This window comes from Homo sapiens, chromosome 10, assembly GCF_000001405.40.
Source record: "Homo sapiens chromosome 10, GRCh38.p14 Primary Assembly".
Taxonomy (NCBI): domain Eukaryota; kingdom Metazoa; phylum Chordata; class Mammalia; order Primates; family Hominidae; genus Homo; species Homo sapiens.
The window spans coordinates 21068029-21088970 of record NC_000010.11 but is presented as its reverse complement, the minus strand read 5'-3'; the positions used below and the strand labels follow the sequence as shown (position 1 = coordinate 21088970).

Genomic DNA, 20942 nt, shown 5'->3' with positions numbered 1-20942 from the left:
TGCTGCTACCTCAAACAATCTTTCCTGCCTCGCGTGGTTCATTAACTGCCCATCCTCACGGCAGAGGGCAGTTCTTCCAGAAAGTCTCCAGCTCTTCTAGAAAGACTTCCCTTAACCCTGAAGCTTGGACTCTCTGACTCTGTAGAAGGGTTGGCAGATACTTCTTATCTTAGTTGCTGGCCTCTGCCAGTTGGTAGTGGTTGTCCAGAATGTTGGAGTAAGAAAGATTCCAAGGTACAGTCCATCTTCCACTGGAAGGATGGCTGTCACTATTCTTTGCTGCTAATGTGTGCATCTGATGCCTGCACTCTGTCTTTTACAGTCATTATAGTAGACTGTATTTCCATTTACTAAATATTCTAGTTTCCATCCCCGCAGGAAGTACCTGGCTGCACTCAGAGTGGCCATAGGACATGCTTTGGCCATTGAAAGAAGGTCAGAGTGATGTGTGTCACTTCTGGGCAGAAGGTTTTGTTTTGTTTTTTAAGAGACAGAATCTCACCGTGACAACCAGGTTGGAGTGCAGTGGTACCATCATAGCCCACTACAGCCTTGAACTCCTGGGCTCAAGCAATCCTGCCTCAGCCTCCTGCGTAACTGGGACCACAACACCCAGATAATTAAAATGTTTTCTCAGAAATAGGGTCTTGCTATGTTGCCCAGACTGATCACCACCTCCTGGGCTCAAGTGATGCTCCTGTCTCAGCCTCCCAAAGTGTTGGAACTACAGGTGTGAGCCACTGTGCCTGGACAGAAGTTTTGTGAGCCAGGATGTGGTACACTGTGTCCCTTTCCCTCTGCCAGAAGACTGACAATGTGGAGAGAAACAACTGGGCCCCAGGGTGAGAATGTAGACCCAGGGGTGATTCCTGATGGACATGTAGCATGAATGGTAGGGGAGGGAAACACTGTCAGGGGAAGCTTCACTTTGTTTGTTCCATGTTGTTTGTACAGCATAATCAAGCCTGTTCTGACTGATACATAATATCTCCATAAAGTAGTGTGGTGGCATTTTCGGTATTGCAAATCGTCAGATTCAGGGCAGAAATCGATTTGCCTATTTCAGAGTGTACCAAGAGCCATTTAATTCATTTTACATGTCCATTTTCTGATTCTCAGTAATTTCCACGTAAGTCATTTTCTTTTAAGGATGGATTATGGTAAATCATATCTAAGGCACTTAAATATTGTAAAATCTCAATTATACCGAGGTCAGGGCTGCAAACTAGGGTGGAGAAATCATGAAGTAATTTCCAAGACCTCAAACAGCGGAACTAATTGTCACACATTCCAAATTCCAAAGCTCCAAGACATTATTACTCGATAGGCACCAATTCAGATACTATTTCATTTTAGTCACATGAGTTTAATAAGCTTAGTTATCAAATTCCTCTGCCCTTAGCAGATTAAAGGCTGCCAATTAGGAGAGGTGGATTGTGAATTCTGTTAGAGGCAGTTTTACTAAAAACTGGGAGAAGAGAAAGTCTGAAAAAAGAGGAGAGACAGAGACTTTTTGGGATTCTAGGTGGCATTCTGTACATATCAACAGGCAGAGGTTCTCAGTGTGTGTTTTCTAAAGTGAGAATGAACTTGGGTCATCAATAAAAAAAAGCTTAATTATGTGTTGTACCCTAACAAGCCAGGCTCATCTCACACAAATTTCCATAAAAAGTCAAAACGAGATCATGAACTTGGTTTTCAGAAAAATTACTGACTCATTTATTTAGTGAGCAAATATTTATTGTTGACTAAAATAGACACTGCTAATCATTGGTGGGGGGTCTGGGGAGGAGACAGTAACTTTCCCTGTTCTCCAGGAGTTCACAGAGATAGAAAAATAAATAAATGTGACACTGTGTCATATGTTTTACTGGAAATGAATATACAGTTGGTGAGATGGAAGCTCAGAAGAGAGAGAGGCAAATTCTTGGTGAGGGAGGGTGGTAGGTTAAGAGACATCCCTTGGAAAACTAATGGTTCTGCTGAGTGTAGATGGGTAGTTGAGCAGACAACCAAATTGATTGGGATTGGTGTTGGGGTGCAGGGAGATCTTTCAGGCAGAGAACATTCCCTATGGGTGGCAGTCATAAGAGACATGACTGAACTCTTCAGCAAACTGGTATCTGTCTTTGTCATTGGTTTTTAGTTTCACTAGAAGTCTGATTTCCAGTAATTTATTTTTATTTTTATTTTTGAGTCAGGGTCTTGCTGTGTCACCTAGGCTGGAGTGCAGTGGCACGATCATGGCTCACTGCAACCTCCACCTCCCTGGCTTAACTCATCCACCCACCTTGGCTTCCAAGTAGCTGGGACTACAGGTGCACACCACCACACATGACTAATTTTTGTATTTTTAGTAAAGATAGGGTTTCACCATGTTGCTCTGGCTGGTCTCAAATTCCTGAGCTCAAGTGATCCTCCTGCCTTGGCCTCCCAAAGTGCTGGGATTACAGGTGTGAGCCACCATGCCCGACTAGACACTGATTTCTAATTTGCACCTTCAGAAATGAAATTCTCTATATCATTCATTGGCTGCAGTGTTTTTAAAGAATAACTTTTATGTTTGAGAGGAAACCTATAGGGAGCAGCTATAGCCATCTGGAAATAGCATCACCTTGTTTGAGTTATAGGGTCTTAGCACAATTGACAGAAAAATGAGAAATCTGTTATGTCATTGATTTCTCCTTACACAAATCGTGCAGTTTTGGATAAGCTAATATTTTTCTGGGATATTTCTAAACACTTCTAGAAAAGGGCTCTATTTCATGTGGGCCTAAATGATAACAACACGGAGTCGAACTCTTTAATTCCTATGGAAATTGTGAAAATGGGCAACAAACTGCATTGCCTAGTCTCTTTTGCTTGTTTTCTACATTAGTACACCAATACAACGCCAGATTCTCCTGGTTGAAAACACACATATTTATGGATTTTTTTTTCAAAGTACATCTTATCAAAGAAGTACTGTGAAGACAAGGAAAAGTACAGATACAGCCCATTTTAAGAAAATCCCAAATGAAAAAAATGCAGATTTCCATAAAAGCTCCTCCTGTATATCTAAACATTTTTAAATGTTTATTCATGATATCTGAGAGACTTGCCTGCCCTGCCGAGTGAGATGTAAATGAGAAGTGCATATTTTTGCCTCTTTTGTCCTGTTGCCATGAGGTCCTACATTTATATATATTTTCATAGTTGTGCATTTATATTAGAACAAAACTTTACTTTAACACATATACACTTCTTAATATTTATGTAGAAAATTGCTTTAATGTATTAATTAAATGAGCTTTTGTATATATGTTGTTTTATTTCTAATTTTAATTTTAATTTTTAGAGACAAGGTCTTACTCCGTCGCTGAGGCTGGAGTACAGTGGCATGATCATAGTTCACTGCAGCCTCTAACTCTTGGGCTCAAATGATCCTCCAGCCTCAGTCTCCCAAGTAGCTGGGACCATCGGTGTGCACCACTATGCTTGGCTAATTAAGTTTTTTTGTTTGTTTGTTGTTTGTAGAGACAGGTTCTCATTTTGTTGCCCAGACTGGTCTCGAACTCCTGGCTTCAAGCAGTCCTTCCGCCTCGGCTTCCCAAACTTCTGGGATTCCAGGCACGAGCCACCATACTTGGCCTACGTGCTGTTTTAAAACAAATTAACTGAAAATGCACAATTGGAAAAATTCCACATCTCTAAAACAATGAGAAGAAAGTAGCTATGACTTAGTAAAATCTCAGAAGGGCATTCTACTTTTGGAAGAAATATAAATGTTTCAAGATTAGCATGTGATGGAGCGTGAGAAATATAATGGGTCCTCACATGAAAATCAAGCGAGTTTAGAAGGCAATTCTTTCAAAATCGCTGGTAGGTTTGTCTTCCAAGTGGTATTGGTTGGTGGCTGGGAAGAAGCTATTCAGGCACAGTGAATGTGACAAGCCCAGTGACACTACCATAGGCTAGAGGAAATCAGATTGGCATAACCCTTTCACATTTTTCCGCACTAACCCACTGGTCTCTTTTCTAAAAAGCATTCATGTGCAACAGGGCTAGCCATGCGTAAACTCCCCACCAAGCTTCCTAATGAGTTGACCAAGAACCATGACCAGACCAGGTGGTAAAGTCATGTTGAGTCTTGGCAGCAACCGGGTTCTCTCTGTGCTAGTGCGTATGCCCCTGTGCTTTGGCTTGAATGTTGCTGGCAATGGAGCAGGAGGGAGAAGGCAAGGTTATTTCATTCATTCAGTATTTCTTAGACGTCCATCCTGAATTCTGTGAATTTCTAATTTCTGGTTGAACTCTTCTACTCTCTTTAGTTTTATTTCCCTCAAGAGACTTCATTGTTGCTGTTTTTTATTTTTATTTTTTTATTTTTTTTTTGGGACAGAGTCTTGCTCCGTCACCCAGGCTGCAGTGCAGTGGCACGATCTCGGCTCACTGCAACCTCTGCCTCCTGGGATCCTTCCTGGGTTCAAGTGATTCCCATGCCTCAGCCTCCCCAGTAGCTAGGATTACAGGCTGAGACTTAGTTTTAACATTGGCCTTTTATATTTGCTCTACCCATTCAATCTTGTTTATTGAGTATCTACTCAGTGATTGCAGCGAGAGAGAAACAAACTATAGACTCTTGCCCATAAAACTGTTACAGTGTAACTGAGGAGGCAAGCCATACAGACATAAAGCAATCTGTGAATGAGGCAACAATGTATGTATAGCTGCATTCAACACTCAACGCATAAACCACACACTGTGACCACTTGCGGTTAAATGAAGGGTGCAGAGAAATTTGAGAAAGTCTCAAAGCCACTCCCATCTCTCTGGACTGCAGAATTTAATACCCAATCTGGGACCACAGTGGCTGGTTTATCCAGCAGGTGATTAGGGCCTGAAAAACCAGCTTGTGCTACCCAAATACTTGGGAACTGTGCTGGAAATTCAGGTTATTTATACTAGGGTTTTTTTCCCAAGATGACAATTGTATTAGTCAGGACTCTCTGGGGACAAATGAGAGAAGCCCAGGCCATAGGCTCTTCAGTAAGAAAAGGTACGCTGCCTCTGGAAGGATGCCAGAGTATCTGTTCCAGTCATAGGCAGACCTGTAAGAGTGTAGCTTCTTCCTTCCCAACTTGCCTTTGCACATTTGCACATTTGTCACCTAGGCTGCAGTGCAGTGGCACAATCATGGCTCACTGCAACCTCCACCTCCTGGGCTCAAGTCATCCTCTTGCCTCAGCCTCCTAAGTAGCTGGGACTACAGCTGCACGCAACCACGCCTGGCTAATTTTTGTATTTTTAGTAGAGACGGGATTTTGCCATGTTGCCCAGGCTGTTCTCGAACTCCTGAGCTCAAGTGATCCTCCTGCCTTGGCCTCCTCTTTGCACACTGGCGTTATTCTCTCTCTTCCACCGAGGACTTCTCTGAGAGGAGCGGTATATAGTGGCTGATGATCTTAGCTAAGTGACTGCAGTGCAAAGAGAGAGTTTCCTTCTTCAAGCATTGCAAAAATATTTCAGAAAGAACTCAGACGGGCTCTTTTGGTTCTCAGTGTACCCCTTGAACAGATCATTGCTACAAGGAGGTGGGGTGCTGCTACTGGGGTGGAGGGACATGATGAGTGCCCAGAAGAAGGGACAAAAACTTCCTGGATAGTCAAATACAACAACTACACAGTTTCATTTTGAAAGTCCATTTGTGAAATCAATTTAAATCGACTATTGCTTACCCTGGGGTCATGCTATGCTGTCCAGCATTTTCCCTGATAGGCCTTCCTAACTTATTTGTGTTTCTATTCTCTAAAGAATCTTTAAGGCTTTTATACCAAAGGGGCTCTGATGGCATCTGGTAAGTGTAAATGTTTCTCCTCAGCACTGCGCTCCTGCTTAATGAAACAGTCACCAAAGAAAGGGTGCATTCAGGTCAAGTGCGCTGGCTTACGCCTGTAATCCCAGCACTTTGGAAGGCTGAGTTGGGTGGATCAACTGAGGTCAGGAGTTCGAGACCAGCCTGGCCAACAGGGTGAAACCCCGTCTCTAAAAAAATTCAAAAATTAGCCAGGTGTGGTGGCAGGCGCCTGTAATCCCAGCTATTTGGGAGGCTGAGGCAAGAGAATTGCTTGAACCTGAGAGCTGGAGGTTGCAGTGAGCCGAGAATATGCCACTGCATTCTAGCCTTGGTGACAGAGTGAGACTCTGTCTCAAAAAAAAAAAAAAAAAAATGCATCCCTCCTGCATATCCCATAATTTTCCCTTCTTAAATAAATGTATTTTCAAGTCCTTTGTGATAAGTACAGTACTTTTTCCATCCTTGTGATAGTTCACTGGTATAGGATCAAAATGGGCATCGGAATTAGGTGAGGAAATAGCCCATTGCTGAGTTGGACCATTTATTCCACTCTCTCTACACAGTCTTAATTTTTTTTTTTTTTTTTTTTTTTTTTTTTTAGTGGTGGTGGGGAACACTTCAAACTTACAAAAAATTTTCAGTACACTACAAAGAACATTTTTATTCCTGAAATCACTTGAAAGTAAGTTGCCAGAATGATGTTTCCTCATTGCCAAATATTTTAGTGTGTATTTCTCACAAACAAGGCATTCTCTTACATAACCACATTCTAACCATCCAAATCAGAACACTAATATTTATTTATCACTGTGATCTAATCCTCAGACCCCATTAAAGTTTTGCCACTTGCCCAAATAAATATTCTTTATTGCAAAAGGATCCAATCTAGAATGATGCCTTGTACTCAATCATCATGTTCCTTCAGTTTCCACTAACCTGCAAGAGTTCCTTCGTTGCTTGGTGACTTTCACGACTCTTTTGAAGCCCAGTTAAGTTCCTCAGTTTCGGTTTGGGTGATGTTTCTTCATGGTTATATTCAGGTTAGGCATGGTTGGCAGGGATTTCATGAAAGGGGTGCTATGTTCTTTTCATGGTATCCTATCAGGTGGCACCAAACCTGGTGATGTTCACTTTCATCATTTGATGAAGGTAATTGACATGATGTATCCTGGACCTCATCAAACTTTTAATTTGCTCATGTATTTTTATTTTTATTGGTATAGACTTCAATTTCATATTTTATTCAATGGGTTATAATCCATCACTATCATGATTTATTTCTATCCTTAAGTTGTTCCACACCTGGCCCATGGGAGCCCTTATGAGCAAGTTTCCAGGTCCTTATGACACAATTCCATCATTCTTTGGGTACATCCTTACTTTCTGGCACAGTAGAGATGTTCCAGACTTATCTTATATTTTTCCTCCCCCATCCCTGGAATCAATCACTTCTCCGAGGATGCTTGATTCCTTTTAGTGAAGAACAGTCTTTGGAAACCAACCGTCTAGGGACATTAAGTATGCTTGTTGCTATTGGAGTGTCATTGCTCCTGGACCTTCTCAGTGGACACAGCTAGGAAATGTATGTGTTTATATGTGTGTGTTAAATATCAATTTCTTTATCTATTATAGGTACTATTAAAAATGAGTTCCCACCAATATCTCCACCTTCAGTTTTCCCACTAGGAGCCATGATGAGAAACCTGGCTCCTGGTTTTTTCTATGTGTTTACTTATTTGATCAACCCTCCTGTGCATAACAAGCCTCACATCCCCATGGCTGACTGCCTTTCCCCTGCTTCCCATGAAAGCCTTTGTCATCCTGTGCCAGCTGCTGGAGCTCCCCACAACTCAAATGGTGGCCCCATTGATTTTAGGCCAGCTTAGAAAAACACAGTGGAAAATTTTTGCATCATTTGATTATCAAGTCATGATTGCAGTTTGTTGGGGTTGGAATGTGACTATTAAATAATACCAGATCAGCCAGGTGTGGTGGCTCATGCCTGTATTCCCAGCACTTTGGGAGGTCGAGGTGGGTGGATCACTTGAGGTCAGGAGTTCGAGACCAGCCTGGCCAACATGGTGAAATACTGTTTGTACTAAAAATACAAAAATTAGCTAGGCGTGGTGGTGCATGCCTGTAGACCCAGCTACTTGGGAGGCTGAGGCAGGAGAATGGCTTGAACCCAGGAGGCAGAGGTTAACAGTGAGCTGAGATTGTGCCATCACACTCCAGCCTGGGCGAGAGTGATACTCCATCTCAAAAAACAAAAAACAAACAAACAAAAAAACCAGATCACATTTTAAAAATGACACCTACCAGAATATCAATATCTGAATAAGCCAGAATTAGCACTGTTGGGAGGGTATATAATCATTCCATCAAAGTTGCATTTACTCAAACAGGTTGGACACCTCCTTCTAGATCTGTTTTTAGAACCACTTTCCAAGCCCAATCCAGAAACCCAGCCTTGCTTCTTTTCCATTGTAGTCCTAGTTAAAAGCAACCAGAGCTGCATAAATCTCTGTGGGAAAATTATTTTTATTACAATGATTTATGTATATGCTTATCTTCCCCTCTAGTCTGTGAGACCCTAAGATCCAAGGCTAACTTCATATTGTACAGCATCCAACAGAATAGTTGTTGAATTATTCAATGAATGAATCTTGTCTTTGATTCAATTTTCTCCAGCTTATATGCCAGAGTTAGTCCCAAATGACTCAGCTGTTCCCAAAAATGAAATTCGCCCTCAAAGTATGAATATTTACCACAATTGAGAAGAGTCAAAAATATATGTCTCATGCACGGAATGCAATATCAAAAGAGGAATTTTCACAGAGTTTTGAGCAGTCTCAAGATCACAGAATATGGATATCATATCCAAAGTATCTATTTAGAAAGTGATGACATGCTTTTGTTGTATCTATGTGTTGTGCTGTTAAGAAATCGCTTTCATTACTTTATGGTCAGCCATATTTTATATGCATTATAAATTATGTGCTTATTACAAAATCACAGCCACCAGAACCGTCTCTCTATGCTTTACAGTTCACCTGTGAAGATTTATGTTCTGAGTTAGCTGAGACATCATAGAATTCTCTTCTTACCAGGAAAGGATCATAATACATGCTGTTCAAAGCAATAGCGTAAGACTTATTGATATACAGTATCTATACTCCGCCCCTCTCTGAGGATTCTATATTGGTCATTGTTCAAGGCTTCTAGTGATTTTCTTTTATTATATGAAAAAGGAGAGTTCAATGTAGGACAGAGGTGGAGCTACCTTGGGTGGTGGGGCAGAGTACAAAGAACAAATAATGATCTTATATGTCTGTGCACGTCCTTCCTCCAAATGTTTCTATAACTGCGATCTTTTGAAAATTAACAGCCTTGGCCATCTCAAAGGAGGAAAAATAAATAAAGGAATATGCAGCTCAATCTGTGTGTTTACGGGGCAGATAGGTGAAGATGAGAACCATAGATCTTATTGAGAGGGAAGCTGCCCACTTTTGTCCTTCTATTTGGGTGAGAAGTTGTTGAGCCTCCCTATGTTTATACTGGGAGCCCTATTTTTATAAAGCCCTCTGAAGGCTGTGTGGTGTTGCCAACTTGGAGAAAAGGTTGAAGCTCCAGTCCTGGATCCACAAATTCTGTGTGCCCACTCTTGAGCAAGTTACTTAAGCCCTGTGAGCCTGAGTTTTCTCACTTCCAAAACAAGGTCCTCACACAGGTGTGCTGGGAGGTTTAGATGAAAGCACCTGCCAAATAAATCACAGAAATGAGAGCCTACCAAAGATTTGTGCTCCCTGCATTTTATCTTGTATTTTTTTAAAATCTCAAGATGGTGGTACTACTGCCTCTTCACCTCCTCATTTTCTTTCTTTTTCTGGTCTTGCCCTGTTATCCCCTCCACCAGGATGCACCCAGGACACTTTCCCAGATTTGCCATGTCCCATGGGAGGCTCTGGCTATAGTTAATAGAGAAGGTTTCCGAGAGAGAGAGGCTGAGACAGACACCTGGAAGGAAAGGTTGGATATCTCCTTTGGAGGAAAAGCTAGGGAAAGTCCTAAGAGGAGGGCATTTGCTGTGCCATTTGTCATTTAGATCTGGAGGTGGTAGAAATACAGACATTCTGATGTTTCTATAAAGGCTGTCAGGGCTTAATGAAGTTCTTCATGGGGCAGGAGCCGCACGTGCTTATTAAGGTTGGATCAGTGGATACACTCATCCCCTGGATCTGGGAGCAAACTGGAATCAACAGTGCCACCAAGTGGCAGCCAGCTAATAAGCAAGTTGAAACACTAAGACTGCAACTTCTAGTGCTTTGCCCAAATATCTCTGTCTCTTACTCTTTTTCTTTCTAAAAATAAGATCAAGTATATTTTCCTAGGGTGGATATAGAGAGAATGATCTTGTAGACATACCTTCTTCTGGCATGTTGTAGAGCTTGGATACATGATTTTTCTTTATTAAACAATCAAAACCTTTAAAGTCCCACTCAAATGAGCAGGTCATAGGAGTAGATACCTCTGCATACGTGTATACAGGTCATTTATAAAAACTGAGGGATGGGGGCTGTGTGTGTTGGGATTCAAGAAGATTTCCAAAGTGTATTAACCAGGAGTGAAACTCAGGATGACAAATACTGTACACGATGGCAAACAGCATAGACAACATACACGACTCTATTTAGGAGAGGAAACCATTTATATTATTACAGTCTGTAACCTTTTTGTTTTTTATTTAGAGTATTTCTTTTTCTGATCATAAAAGTGTTCGTTGTAATAATTTGAAAGGCTTATTACTTTAAAAAGAATACATTCTACTGGCTGTTAAACACCTTGTAAATAACACAAAATACCAAGATTTTTAGGATACAGAAAAATCCATTTCATTCTGGTCCATTTGTTTGTCATTAGAAAGAGTCTATTTTGTACTCATGCTGCTGTGTTCATTTTAGGACTAATTTGAGGTAAGCTTCCAGCTTTGATTGTTGCTTTCCCCATTATTTTTATTTTCGATCCCCCATAGAATGCATTTCCATCTTCCAATCTCCTCCTCCCGTCCATTCTGCACACAACCCAGCTTTCAGAATAATCTGGTATTGAGAGTCAATCCGTGCTCTGGAAGGTGTCTCAGTGTCCCTGTGACAGCCAGCTCTGCAGTATCCATCGGACTTGATATGGTGGCTCTTGTAGTGTTGCTTTTCTAAGAGCTAAAGTACTTTCTCGTGGTCATGAATAGTGTGGGAAGCCCATAGCTCGGGCTGTTGAAAGGTCTATCAGTTCTGCTGTGCCTGACAATGTTGACCCCAGGGTAGAGAGATTTCCTCCCACTTCCTAGGTGTGTGGGAGGTAGGGGCAAGTGCTAGGGGATTTATGAATGAGATGGAAGGGAGGACAGAAAATGAAGAAGGGAAAAAGATATCAGGAACCAACAGACCATCAGCTGAATTCTAACTACAAAAATGACAAATAACAAAAGCAATTTATTTATTTATTTATTTATTTTTATTTTTATTTTTTTTGAGATGAAGTCTTGCTCTGTCGCCCAGGCTGGAGTGCAGTGGTGCCATCTCGGCTCACTGCAAGCTCCACCTCCCAGGTTCACGCCATTCTCCTGCCTCAGCCTCCCGAGTAGCTGGGACTACAGGCACCTGCCACCATGCCTGGCTAATTTTTTGTACTTTTAGTAGAGATGGGGTTTCACCATGTTGTTAGCCAGGATGGTCTCTATCTCCTGACCTTGTGACCCACCCGCTTCAGCCTTCCAAAGTGCTGGGATTACAGGCGTGAGCCACTGCGCCCGGCCAGCAAAAGCAATTTAAAATGTACCTTGCTCCATAATAAATATAAGGGAGTGAGGAACAAAGCTTTTCTTCCCCCAATTCCTTTGATTTTTTATTTTTTTTGAAGAAAAGTAGATTAAGCATGAGTTTTAAGTACTGTTCAGAATAAAAACCAAGATAGACCCCAATAACTTACCTTAATTTTGAGTATAATATTATATTGTAGGTCATTTCTGGACTTGGGTGGCTATTTTTAAACATATTTTTAAATTGTGGTAAGATATACGTAACATAAAGGTTACCATTTTAACAATTTTTAAGTGGACAGTTCAGTGGCAGTATGTATATTCACATTTTTGTGCAAATGTATGTTTCTAGAACTTTTTCGTCTTCCCCAACTGAAACTCCACATCCATGAAACACTAACCCCCCATTTCCCCCTCCGTCATCTTACTTTCTGTCTCTGGCCATTTGTCTATCTTCTTTGGAGAAATATCCATTCAAGTCCTTTGCCTAGTTTCTGTCTCTATGAATTTGACTACTCTAGGGCCAAATATAAGTGGGCTCATATAAGTATTTGTCCTTTTGTGACTGGCTGATTTCAATTATAATGTCCTCAAGTTTCATCCATGTTGTAGTATGCATCAGAATTTCTTTCCTTTTTAAGGTTGAATAGTAGCTGATCATATGTGTATATCACATTCTGTTTTCTGATTCATTCATTGATGGACACGTGGGTTGCTTCTGCCTTTTATCTGTTGTGGTCAACGCTGCTATGACCATGGATGTATAAATATTTGCTTGAGTTCCCACTTTAGTTTTTTTTTGGTTATATGCCCACAAGTAGAATTGTTGGGTTGTGTGGTAATTCTTTTTTTTTTTTTTTTTTTTTTTTTTTTTTGAAACTGAGTCTCTCTCTGTTGCCCAGACTGGAGTGCAGTGGCACGATCTCGGCTCACTGCAACCTCTGCCTCTCAGGTTCAAGCGATTCTCCTGCCTCAGCCTTCTGAGTAGCTGGGATTACAGGTGTGCACCACCATGCCTGGCTAATTTTTTTGTATTTTTAGTAGAGATGGGGTTTTGCCATGTTGGCCAAGCCAGTCTTGAACCCCTAATCTCAGGTGATCCACCCTCCTCGGCCTCCTAAAGTGCTGGGATTACAGGTGTAAGCCACCGTGCCTGGTTGGTAATTCTATGTTTAATTTTTTGAGGAATTGCTATACAGTTTTTTTTGTAATAGCTGTACCATTTTACATTACCGCTGATAATGCATAAAAGTTCCAATTTCTCCACATCCTCACCAAGACCCTGTTATTTTCCTCCTGTTTTAAAATCATGACCATCGTAATGTGTGTGCAGTCGTATCTCATTGTGGTTTTGATTTGCATTTCCCTAATGATTCTTGATGTAGAACATCTTTCATACGTGCTTCTTGGTCATTTGTCTATTTTCTTTGAAGAAATATCTGTTCAAATCCTCTGCCCTTTTTTAAATGGGGTTGTTCGTTATTTTGTTGTTGAGTTGTAGTTTTTTATATTCTGGATACCAATCCCTTATTAGATATGTGATTTGCAAGTATTTTCTGAGAGTAGTTAAATTCAAGTGGACTGACGATTTAAATGGTTGATGCCCTAGCTTGAGAAAATCAAGCATCCTGTGATATGACTGCAATTGTTGAAGCTAAGAGTTGAGGAAAATGAGGGCCTCCCTCTAGACAGATCATCCACGCTGCAGACCGGTGGCCAACCTCTCACTTTTGGGCAACTGCATCGTGCTTCTGGAAGGATTTGGCTCAGCAAGGACAAAGCAACCCCTGTCACCTCACTGTGGCAGGTTGGTGATGTGAAATCATTGCTATCAGGTGTAGCATCACAGCCAAGGTCACTGCCAGAGAGCCAGGTAATCAAATAGTGGTGGAGCCCCTCTTAGGTCGTGTTGTTTCAGGATACTGAAGAGGAAAAATAAGCTCTTCATTTACAGCTTCTCCCATTATCAGCAAGTGACCCTCTCAGTCCGTCTCCAGCCATTTTAAAGAAGCAAAGAAACTACTGGGCTTTTGGGAGGATTTGCCCTCAGCGTTTTAAATGTTGGCTTGCTGGGCCGTTCTTGGGTTTGTAGCACAAAATATTACCATTGTGTTTCCACCGTGGGTTTGCCATTCTTGTTTCAGAAGAGAAATATTTCTTTCATCTACTTTCTTCTTTCTGGTTATTGTTCTTCTTTTTAAAAAAATAATTCTGGGCTGGGTGTCGTGGCTCACACCTGCAATCTTAGCACTTTGGGAGGCCAAGGCAAGTGGATCGCTTGAGCTCAGGAGTTTGAGACCAGCTTGGGCAACATGGTGAAACCCCCACCTCTACTAAAAATACAAAAAATTAGCTGGGCATGGTGGTACATGCCTGTAGTTCCAGCTACTCGGGTGGCTGATGTGGGAGGATGGCTTGAGCTCAGGAGTTCAAAGCTGCAGTGAGGTGAGATCTCGCCACTGTACTCCAGCCTGGGCAACAGAGTGAGACCCTGTCTCAACAACAACAACAACAACAACAACAAAAATATATATATCTATATGGCCAGGTGCAGTGGCTCACGCCTATAATCCCAGCACTTTGGGAGGCCGAGGCAGGCGGATCATGAGGTCAGGAGATCAAGATCATCCTGGCTAACACAGTGAAACCCCGTCTCTACTGAAAGTACAAAAAAATTAGCCGAGCTTGGTGGTGTGCACCTGCAGTCCCAGCTACTAGGGAGGCTGAGGCAGGAGAATCGCTTGAACCCAGGAGGAAGAGGTTGCAGTGAGCCAAGATCACCACTGCACTCCAGCCTGGGCAACAGAGCGAGACTCTGACTCAAAAAAAAAAAAAAGAAAAAAATTCAGAAAGAAGTTCAATGAGGAGCAGCATTTTACAAGAGATGTACAATATAATCATCTCTCATTTGACAGCATCCTCTGTGAAGTGGATGATATTAGTTTCTAGGAATCCCATAGAAGCCAATGGCAGGATTTCTGCCTGTGATGAACTTTCAGCCTCCTGAAGCCTAGATCTAAAGAGACTTAAAGATGTGTAGAGTAAACATATGGGTAGGCACAAGCAGATACAGTTAAAATGATAGAAGTTCATGCTGAGGCACATGGACCGACATGGTACTTAGGCCTAGGGTGGGGAGAGGTCCTGAAAGGGTGAGGATTTGAAACAGAATTTTGAAAGAAGGGAATAATGTGGCTTGGCATAAAAGCAAAATGATAACTATAGTAGGTATTTCTTTTTTTTTTGAGACGGAGTCTCACTCTGTCGCCCAGGCTGGAGTGCAGTGGCATGATCTCGGCTCACTGCAACCTCCACCTCCCGGATTCACGCCATCCTCCTGCCTCAGCCTCCTGAGTAGCTGGGACTACAGGCACCCGCCACCACGTCCGGCTAATTTTTTTGTATTTTTAGTAGAGACGGGGTTTCACCGTGTTAGCCAGGATGGTCTTGATCTCCTGACCTCGTGATCTGCCCATCTTGGCCTCCCAAAGTGCTGGGATTACAGGCGTGAGCCACCGCCCCTGGCTATAGTAGGCATTTCATAGCATTCATCTCCTCTCTCTTCCTTTTAGCCATGTATGTTAACAGGTTGCCTAGAAATACATTAGGTATGAGATTTGTTTTTCTTTGGGAGTAGGGAGCAGTGGGGAAAAGAAAGCAGTAATATGATTGAAATAAAGACTTTTTTTTTTTTTTTTTTTTGACGACAGAGTCTTGCTCTGTCACCCAGGCTAGAGTGTACTGGTGCATTCTAGGCTCACTGCAACCTCCACCTCCCAGGTTCAAGTGATTATCCTGTCTTGGCCTCCTGAGTAGCTCGGATTACAAGTGCGTGCCACCAAGCCTGCCTAATTTTTGTGTTTTTAGTAGAGATGGGGTTTCACCACGTTGGCCAGGTTGGTCTTGAACTCCTGACCTCAAGTGATCCACCTGCCTTGGCCTCCCAAAGTGCTGGGATTACAGGCATGAGCCACCGTGTCTGGCTTTTTTTTTTTTTGAGACAGGGTCTCACTCTGTTGCCCAGGCTGGAGTGCAGTGGTGCAATCATGGCTCACTGTAGCCTCAAACTCCTGGGCTCAACCGATCCCCCTGCTTCAGCCTCCTAAAGTGCTGGGATTACAGATGTGAACTACTGCGCCCTGATGAATGAAGACATTTTTCCAGGGTTGGGGAGTACACACTTCTTGAGTGGTCCTAGCAGGCCTTCTCAAACACTGGTCCCTCTTTGTAGGCCATGCAACCTGTCCCATCCTCTGTCCCAGCACAGAGTTGGCACTGGTGGAGCCCTGTGCTGTGGCTGCTTCTCTCTCTCTCCCTTTTTCTTTTTCTGAGACAGAGTCATAGTCTATTGCCCAGGCTGTTGTACAGTGGCATGATCTCGACTCACTGCAACCTCCACCTCCTGGGTTTAAGCAATTCTCATGCCTCAGCCTCCCAAGTAGCTAGGATTGCAGGTGCCTGCCACCACGCCTGGCTAACTTTTGTATTTTTAGTAGAGACGGAGTTTTATCATGTTGGCCATGCTGGTCTCGAACTCCTAACCTCAAGTTATCCACCGGCCTCAGCCTCCCAAAGTACTGGGATTACAGCCATGAGCCACTGCACCTGGCTGGCTTCTCTCTTGACTCACTGAGTCTGTCACTTGAATAGAGATGACCAACAACTGAGCCCTGAGCTGCTGGTGGGGACTGGCCTGGATCCCCCTGGGCATACCCTTCCTGTGCTCCGCACTCTGTCCTTTGTTTTTCCTGTGTGGCAGCCGACAGCCCCGTGGCCTGTATGACCTCTATACACTATGCCTGTTAGTTGCCCTACCACTTGTTCCAGAAGATTTTGTTGGTGGCTCCTGATAAAAGTGGCACCTCTCATGTAGTGGCTGAATAGGGGACCCAACAGACATGTCCACCTACAACCTCAGAATGTGACCCTCTTTGGAGTAAGAGTCTCGGGAGATGTACATATGGTATGGAACTTGAGATAAGCACGTGCTGGCTTTGGGTGGGCCCTAAATCCAATGACATTATAAAAGACGGAACTGGAAAAGAGGTATACAGATGCAGAAGGGAGGGCTATGAGGAGACTAAGATAGGGATTGAAGTGACCTGTCTGTAAGCCAAGGAGAGCCAAGGGCTGCAGCCACTGGGAGCTGCAGAGAGCATGGAACCGATTCTCTTTCAGAACCTCCTGAAAAAAAAACCAATGGGCCAGGCACGGTGGCTCATACCTGTAATCCCAGCATTTTGGGAGGTTGAGGTGGGTGGATCACTGGAAGTCAGGAGTTAAAGACCAGCCTGGCCAACATGGTGAAACCCCATCTCTACTAAAACACAAAAATTAGCTGGGTGTGGTGGCAGGCACCTGTAGTCCCAACTATTCAGTAGACTGAGGCATGAGAATTGCTTGAACCCAGGAGACAGAGGCTGCAGTGAGCCAAGATTGCACCACTGCACTCCAGCCTGGGCAGCAAAGTGAGACTCCATCTCAAAAAAAAGACAAAATCAAAAACAAAAAGCCCAACACTATTGTAACTTTGATTTTGGACCTCTGATCTTTGGAACTGCAAAAGAATAAATTTCTGTTGTTTTAAGCCACCAAATTTATGGTAATTCTTTATGGCAGCCCTAGTAAACCAATCCTGGATGAATCCTGGAGATCCCAGTTCAGTCACTTTCAGTCATTAGAATCACCTGGAGAACATTTAAAAAGAACAGCCACTGCATTAGAGTCTCTGAGGGCTGAGTTAAGGGATTAATATTTTTAAAAGTGTCCTAGGTGATTGTAATGTACAGCCTGGGTTCTGAACCACAGATCTTTGCCAGATGTCCCATTTTGCAGATAAGAAAACCAAGACTCAGCAAAATTGCTTTATGGTCCAGAGAAAAATTTGAAAAGTCCTTTTGTAGGGCTTTGAAAGGGGAAAAACAACTCACTCGAGGACAAAGGAGTGTGTGTGTAAATTAAAATTTTAGAAAAAAATTCATTTTTGGGTTTTGTGGGTGGTAATGACTAAGAAAAGGGAGGAAGAATTCATCTTCTAATATTTTTCAGGGACCTTCCACCATACCCGTTTTTTATTTTTAAAAATAATAATAATATTATTTAAAAATTATAATAATATTAAAAATAAAATATTATTATTATTTATTGTTTAGAGACAGAGTGTCACTGTCACCCAGGCTGGAGTGCAGTGGGCCATCATGACTCACTTTAGCCTCAAGCTCCTGGGCTCAAGTGATCCTCCTGACTTAGCCTCCTAAGCAGCTGGGCTACAGGCACACGCCACCACACCTGGCTCCTTTTTTTTTTGTAGAGGCAGAGTGTTGCTATGTTGCCTGGGCTGGTTTTGAACTCCTGGCCTCAAGAGATCCTCCCACCTCAGTCTCCCAAAGTGTTGGGGTTACAGGTGTGAGCCACTGCCATCTTGGCCTAAATCATTTCTAAAAGTTGATTTGTTCATGTGTACAATAAAAGAAATGTTTTCCTTCTTAGACATGTATGCCAGTTTAAAATAGTTATGATTTTCATTGCCACCTCAATAAAGACTCCGTTTCCTTATCCCCTGAAGAAATTCAAGCACAGCCTAGATTTCTGTACAGAAAAGGAGATGAATAATTGTGTTTGAGGTCTTGTTGTGGGTAAGCATTTTGGTAAATAACATAGAAGATTTAATGTTCAGAGTAATTTTTTTTTAAGTGTGTCTTGGTTTCAGGGATGTGGTATTAAATCTAATCGCCCACTTAGGTTATCTGTCCTTTGGAGACTCACGAAGCTAAGGGCAACTGGATAGTTAGGATATTATGTACTCTTTAAAACAGCATGATTTAGTCCAAGTAGGAATTGCTGGGGCTCTAAATTAATCTCCTGGGGAACAAATGAAAAAATACATACGTGATATATTATTGAGGTAGTATATATTTTGGTGCTTTGATATCTTGGAGAGTCTTACATTAATCTGTCATTAATTTTAACCAGGGCAATCTGACAGTGATTAAAGCATATCTAGATAATCAGAAGCTAAAGAAGCCCACTGAGAGATTTACTTAAATGATCTAATCAGCTTTTCTTTTCATAGCAGACACAAAACTGAGGTCCTGACGACTCAAGGGCATTAACAATCCTAGAGCACTTTCCATAACAGTCCGGGTATTTAGCCCCAGTGTCCTGGCCAAATTCCAACTCAAGTAATGCTATTTTGCCTCCCGAAAAGTCCCCCTGCAGCTACTAGTGGATACAGTATTATTCTTTCCTTCCTGTCCCGAAGTGTGAGGCTTTGTGTGGAGGTGACACCGTGTGCTGCAAATCAGATGCTTCATTTCTATTATGAGTGGCTGCATTCTGGCTCCAGGGGCGCAGTCCCTAAGCCGCTGTAAGTACATGATAGGGGATATTTACATGACTTGCGCTATCAGGGGAAAATTGCAGAAGACTTATTCTTTTAAAAAACTTGTTTTAATCTTCTGTAAAAGACAATGTTGTGATTAATATAATTAGATACAGTTAGATAATGATCAGATGAATACAATAATAATGTACATGTTTGTCTCTGTGCTTTGTTTTGTTCTATAGAAGGTTAGAAACAGTGATCCTTAGCAATGAGATTTCTATCCTCACCCTGGTCTATACCAGGTTGTATGAAAATGTGTAACATGAACCATTTCTCAGTTTGTGAGAAAAATCTACATAAAGATTTTTAAATGCTCCAAAGTGCAGAATGCTTCAATGTGGAAGGATGAAGAGATTCAGGATGCCCTGGTTAATGGGCCCGAGACTCATTGAGAAAACTGGGATTCAGGGAGCAGGAGAGTGATTCTCCTGGCGGGCGCTGTGGTGTCAAAACAGCCAACCTGGACAGCTTGACAAACTATTTCTGGAATCCTGTTTCTTGAAACAATCTGTTCACTTAGAGGGGAAATTTCCAAGTGCTCTACTGGCTGTGGTTTATGTGACATGGTGCATGGGAGAACAATGCCATGAGGAAGAATTGTGTGCCTGCCATAAACGGCCCCATTTCATTTCTTTCTTGAGAGATTATGAAAAACGAAGGGAGAACTTCTCAAGGGGCCTAAGGGCAACCAGCGCAGAAAGCTGGGAGCAAAGTGGGTTCCATGCAAACTCGAAAATAGTTATGATGGGCCAGGTGTGGTGGCTCATGACTGTAATCCCAACACTTTGGGAGGATAAGGCAGGAGGATCACCTGAGCCCAGGAGTTCAAGACCAGCCTGGGCCACATAGTGAGACACTGTCTCTACAAAAAATATAAAAAGTATCCAGGTGTGGTGGCATGTGCCTGTAGTCCCAGCTACTCGGGAGAGTGAGATGGGAGGATTGCTTGAGTCCAGGAGTTTGAGTCTGCAGTGAGCCGTGATCTTGCCACTTGTACACTGTAGTCTGGGTGACAGAGTGAGAATCAGTCTTAAACAACAACAACAACAATAACAACAAACATGATGAAGATGAGACAATGTAATAAGCATCGGAGGAATACTCCAAATATTTCAAGCTTTAAAAATTGAAATTTACAGCAAACTAGGTAATTAGACTATTTAGATATTCAAGCTTTCCTTCTCCCTATTTCCTTCTTTGACATTAGTCAGGACTTTTTGGTTGCAGGTGACAGAAACTCAACACCAACTACCTAGAGCAGAAAAGAGGGTGTACTGGCTTAGTAGCTGACAGCTGAAAAGACCAGAGCCCATGGGTCCGGGGTCTATGGTCAGGTGTCACCTCCTCTCCCTCTTAGCTCTTCTCTAGGTAGCTTCTTTCCTCGTGGTGACAAGATGACATTTTGCAGCTTCAGGCTTACATCCAAGCCATCTCAGGGGAAAGAATGTTCCTCCCCCCATAGTTTGATTGAAAGCTCCAAGGTTATTTGGCTGGGCCTGATTCTAGTCACACGGCCATCCCTGTAGCCAGGAGAGTACAAACTGAGGGAGTAGGGGTTGAAACAGCCCCATGCAAACCAAAAGGACTGGTGTATTTCAAAGGGGAAATCAAGTTGATGCCATCAGAAGGAAGGATATGGCTGCTGGCCCCAAAATACAGATGTCTGTTACTGACATATAAATTAAACCTGTTTATTGAAAAGTGCTGACAAATGCTTTTTTAACTTTATAAAAGTGTTCAACACATTTGACTAAAACCATGTAATTAATATCTGTAAAAAGAAGGAAAAAATGTAAAGTGTAGAATCATGGAGCTGACCTCCTAGCCTTTTTTCCCACCTAGTAGAGAAATTCACAATTTCAGTGTTCCTACTAAGAAGTATTTCAACTTCCATTTGAGTTCCTCTA

The 20942-nt window shown here is 42.3% G+C and overlaps 1 protein-coding gene across 10 annotated transcripts in view, besides 1 other annotated feature; it reads left to right on the top strand.

The window, feature by feature from the left end:
- NEBL (nebulette) overlaps positions 1-20942 on the top strand; it is a 513078-nt gene that overhangs the window by 204080 nt on the left and 288056 nt on the right. The window lies entirely within an intron of this gene.
- Positions 4256-4409: a silencer, noted in NCBI's record as "fragment chr10:21373491-21373644 (GRCh37/hg19 assembly coordinates)". NCBI's record gives its function as "represses an EF-1alpha promoter that drives an FKBP-Casp9 reporter gene in an ReSE screen in K562 erythroleukemia cells {active_cell/tissue: K562}" and the evidence as "EXISTENCE:reporter gene assay evidence [ECO:0000049][PMID:32094911]".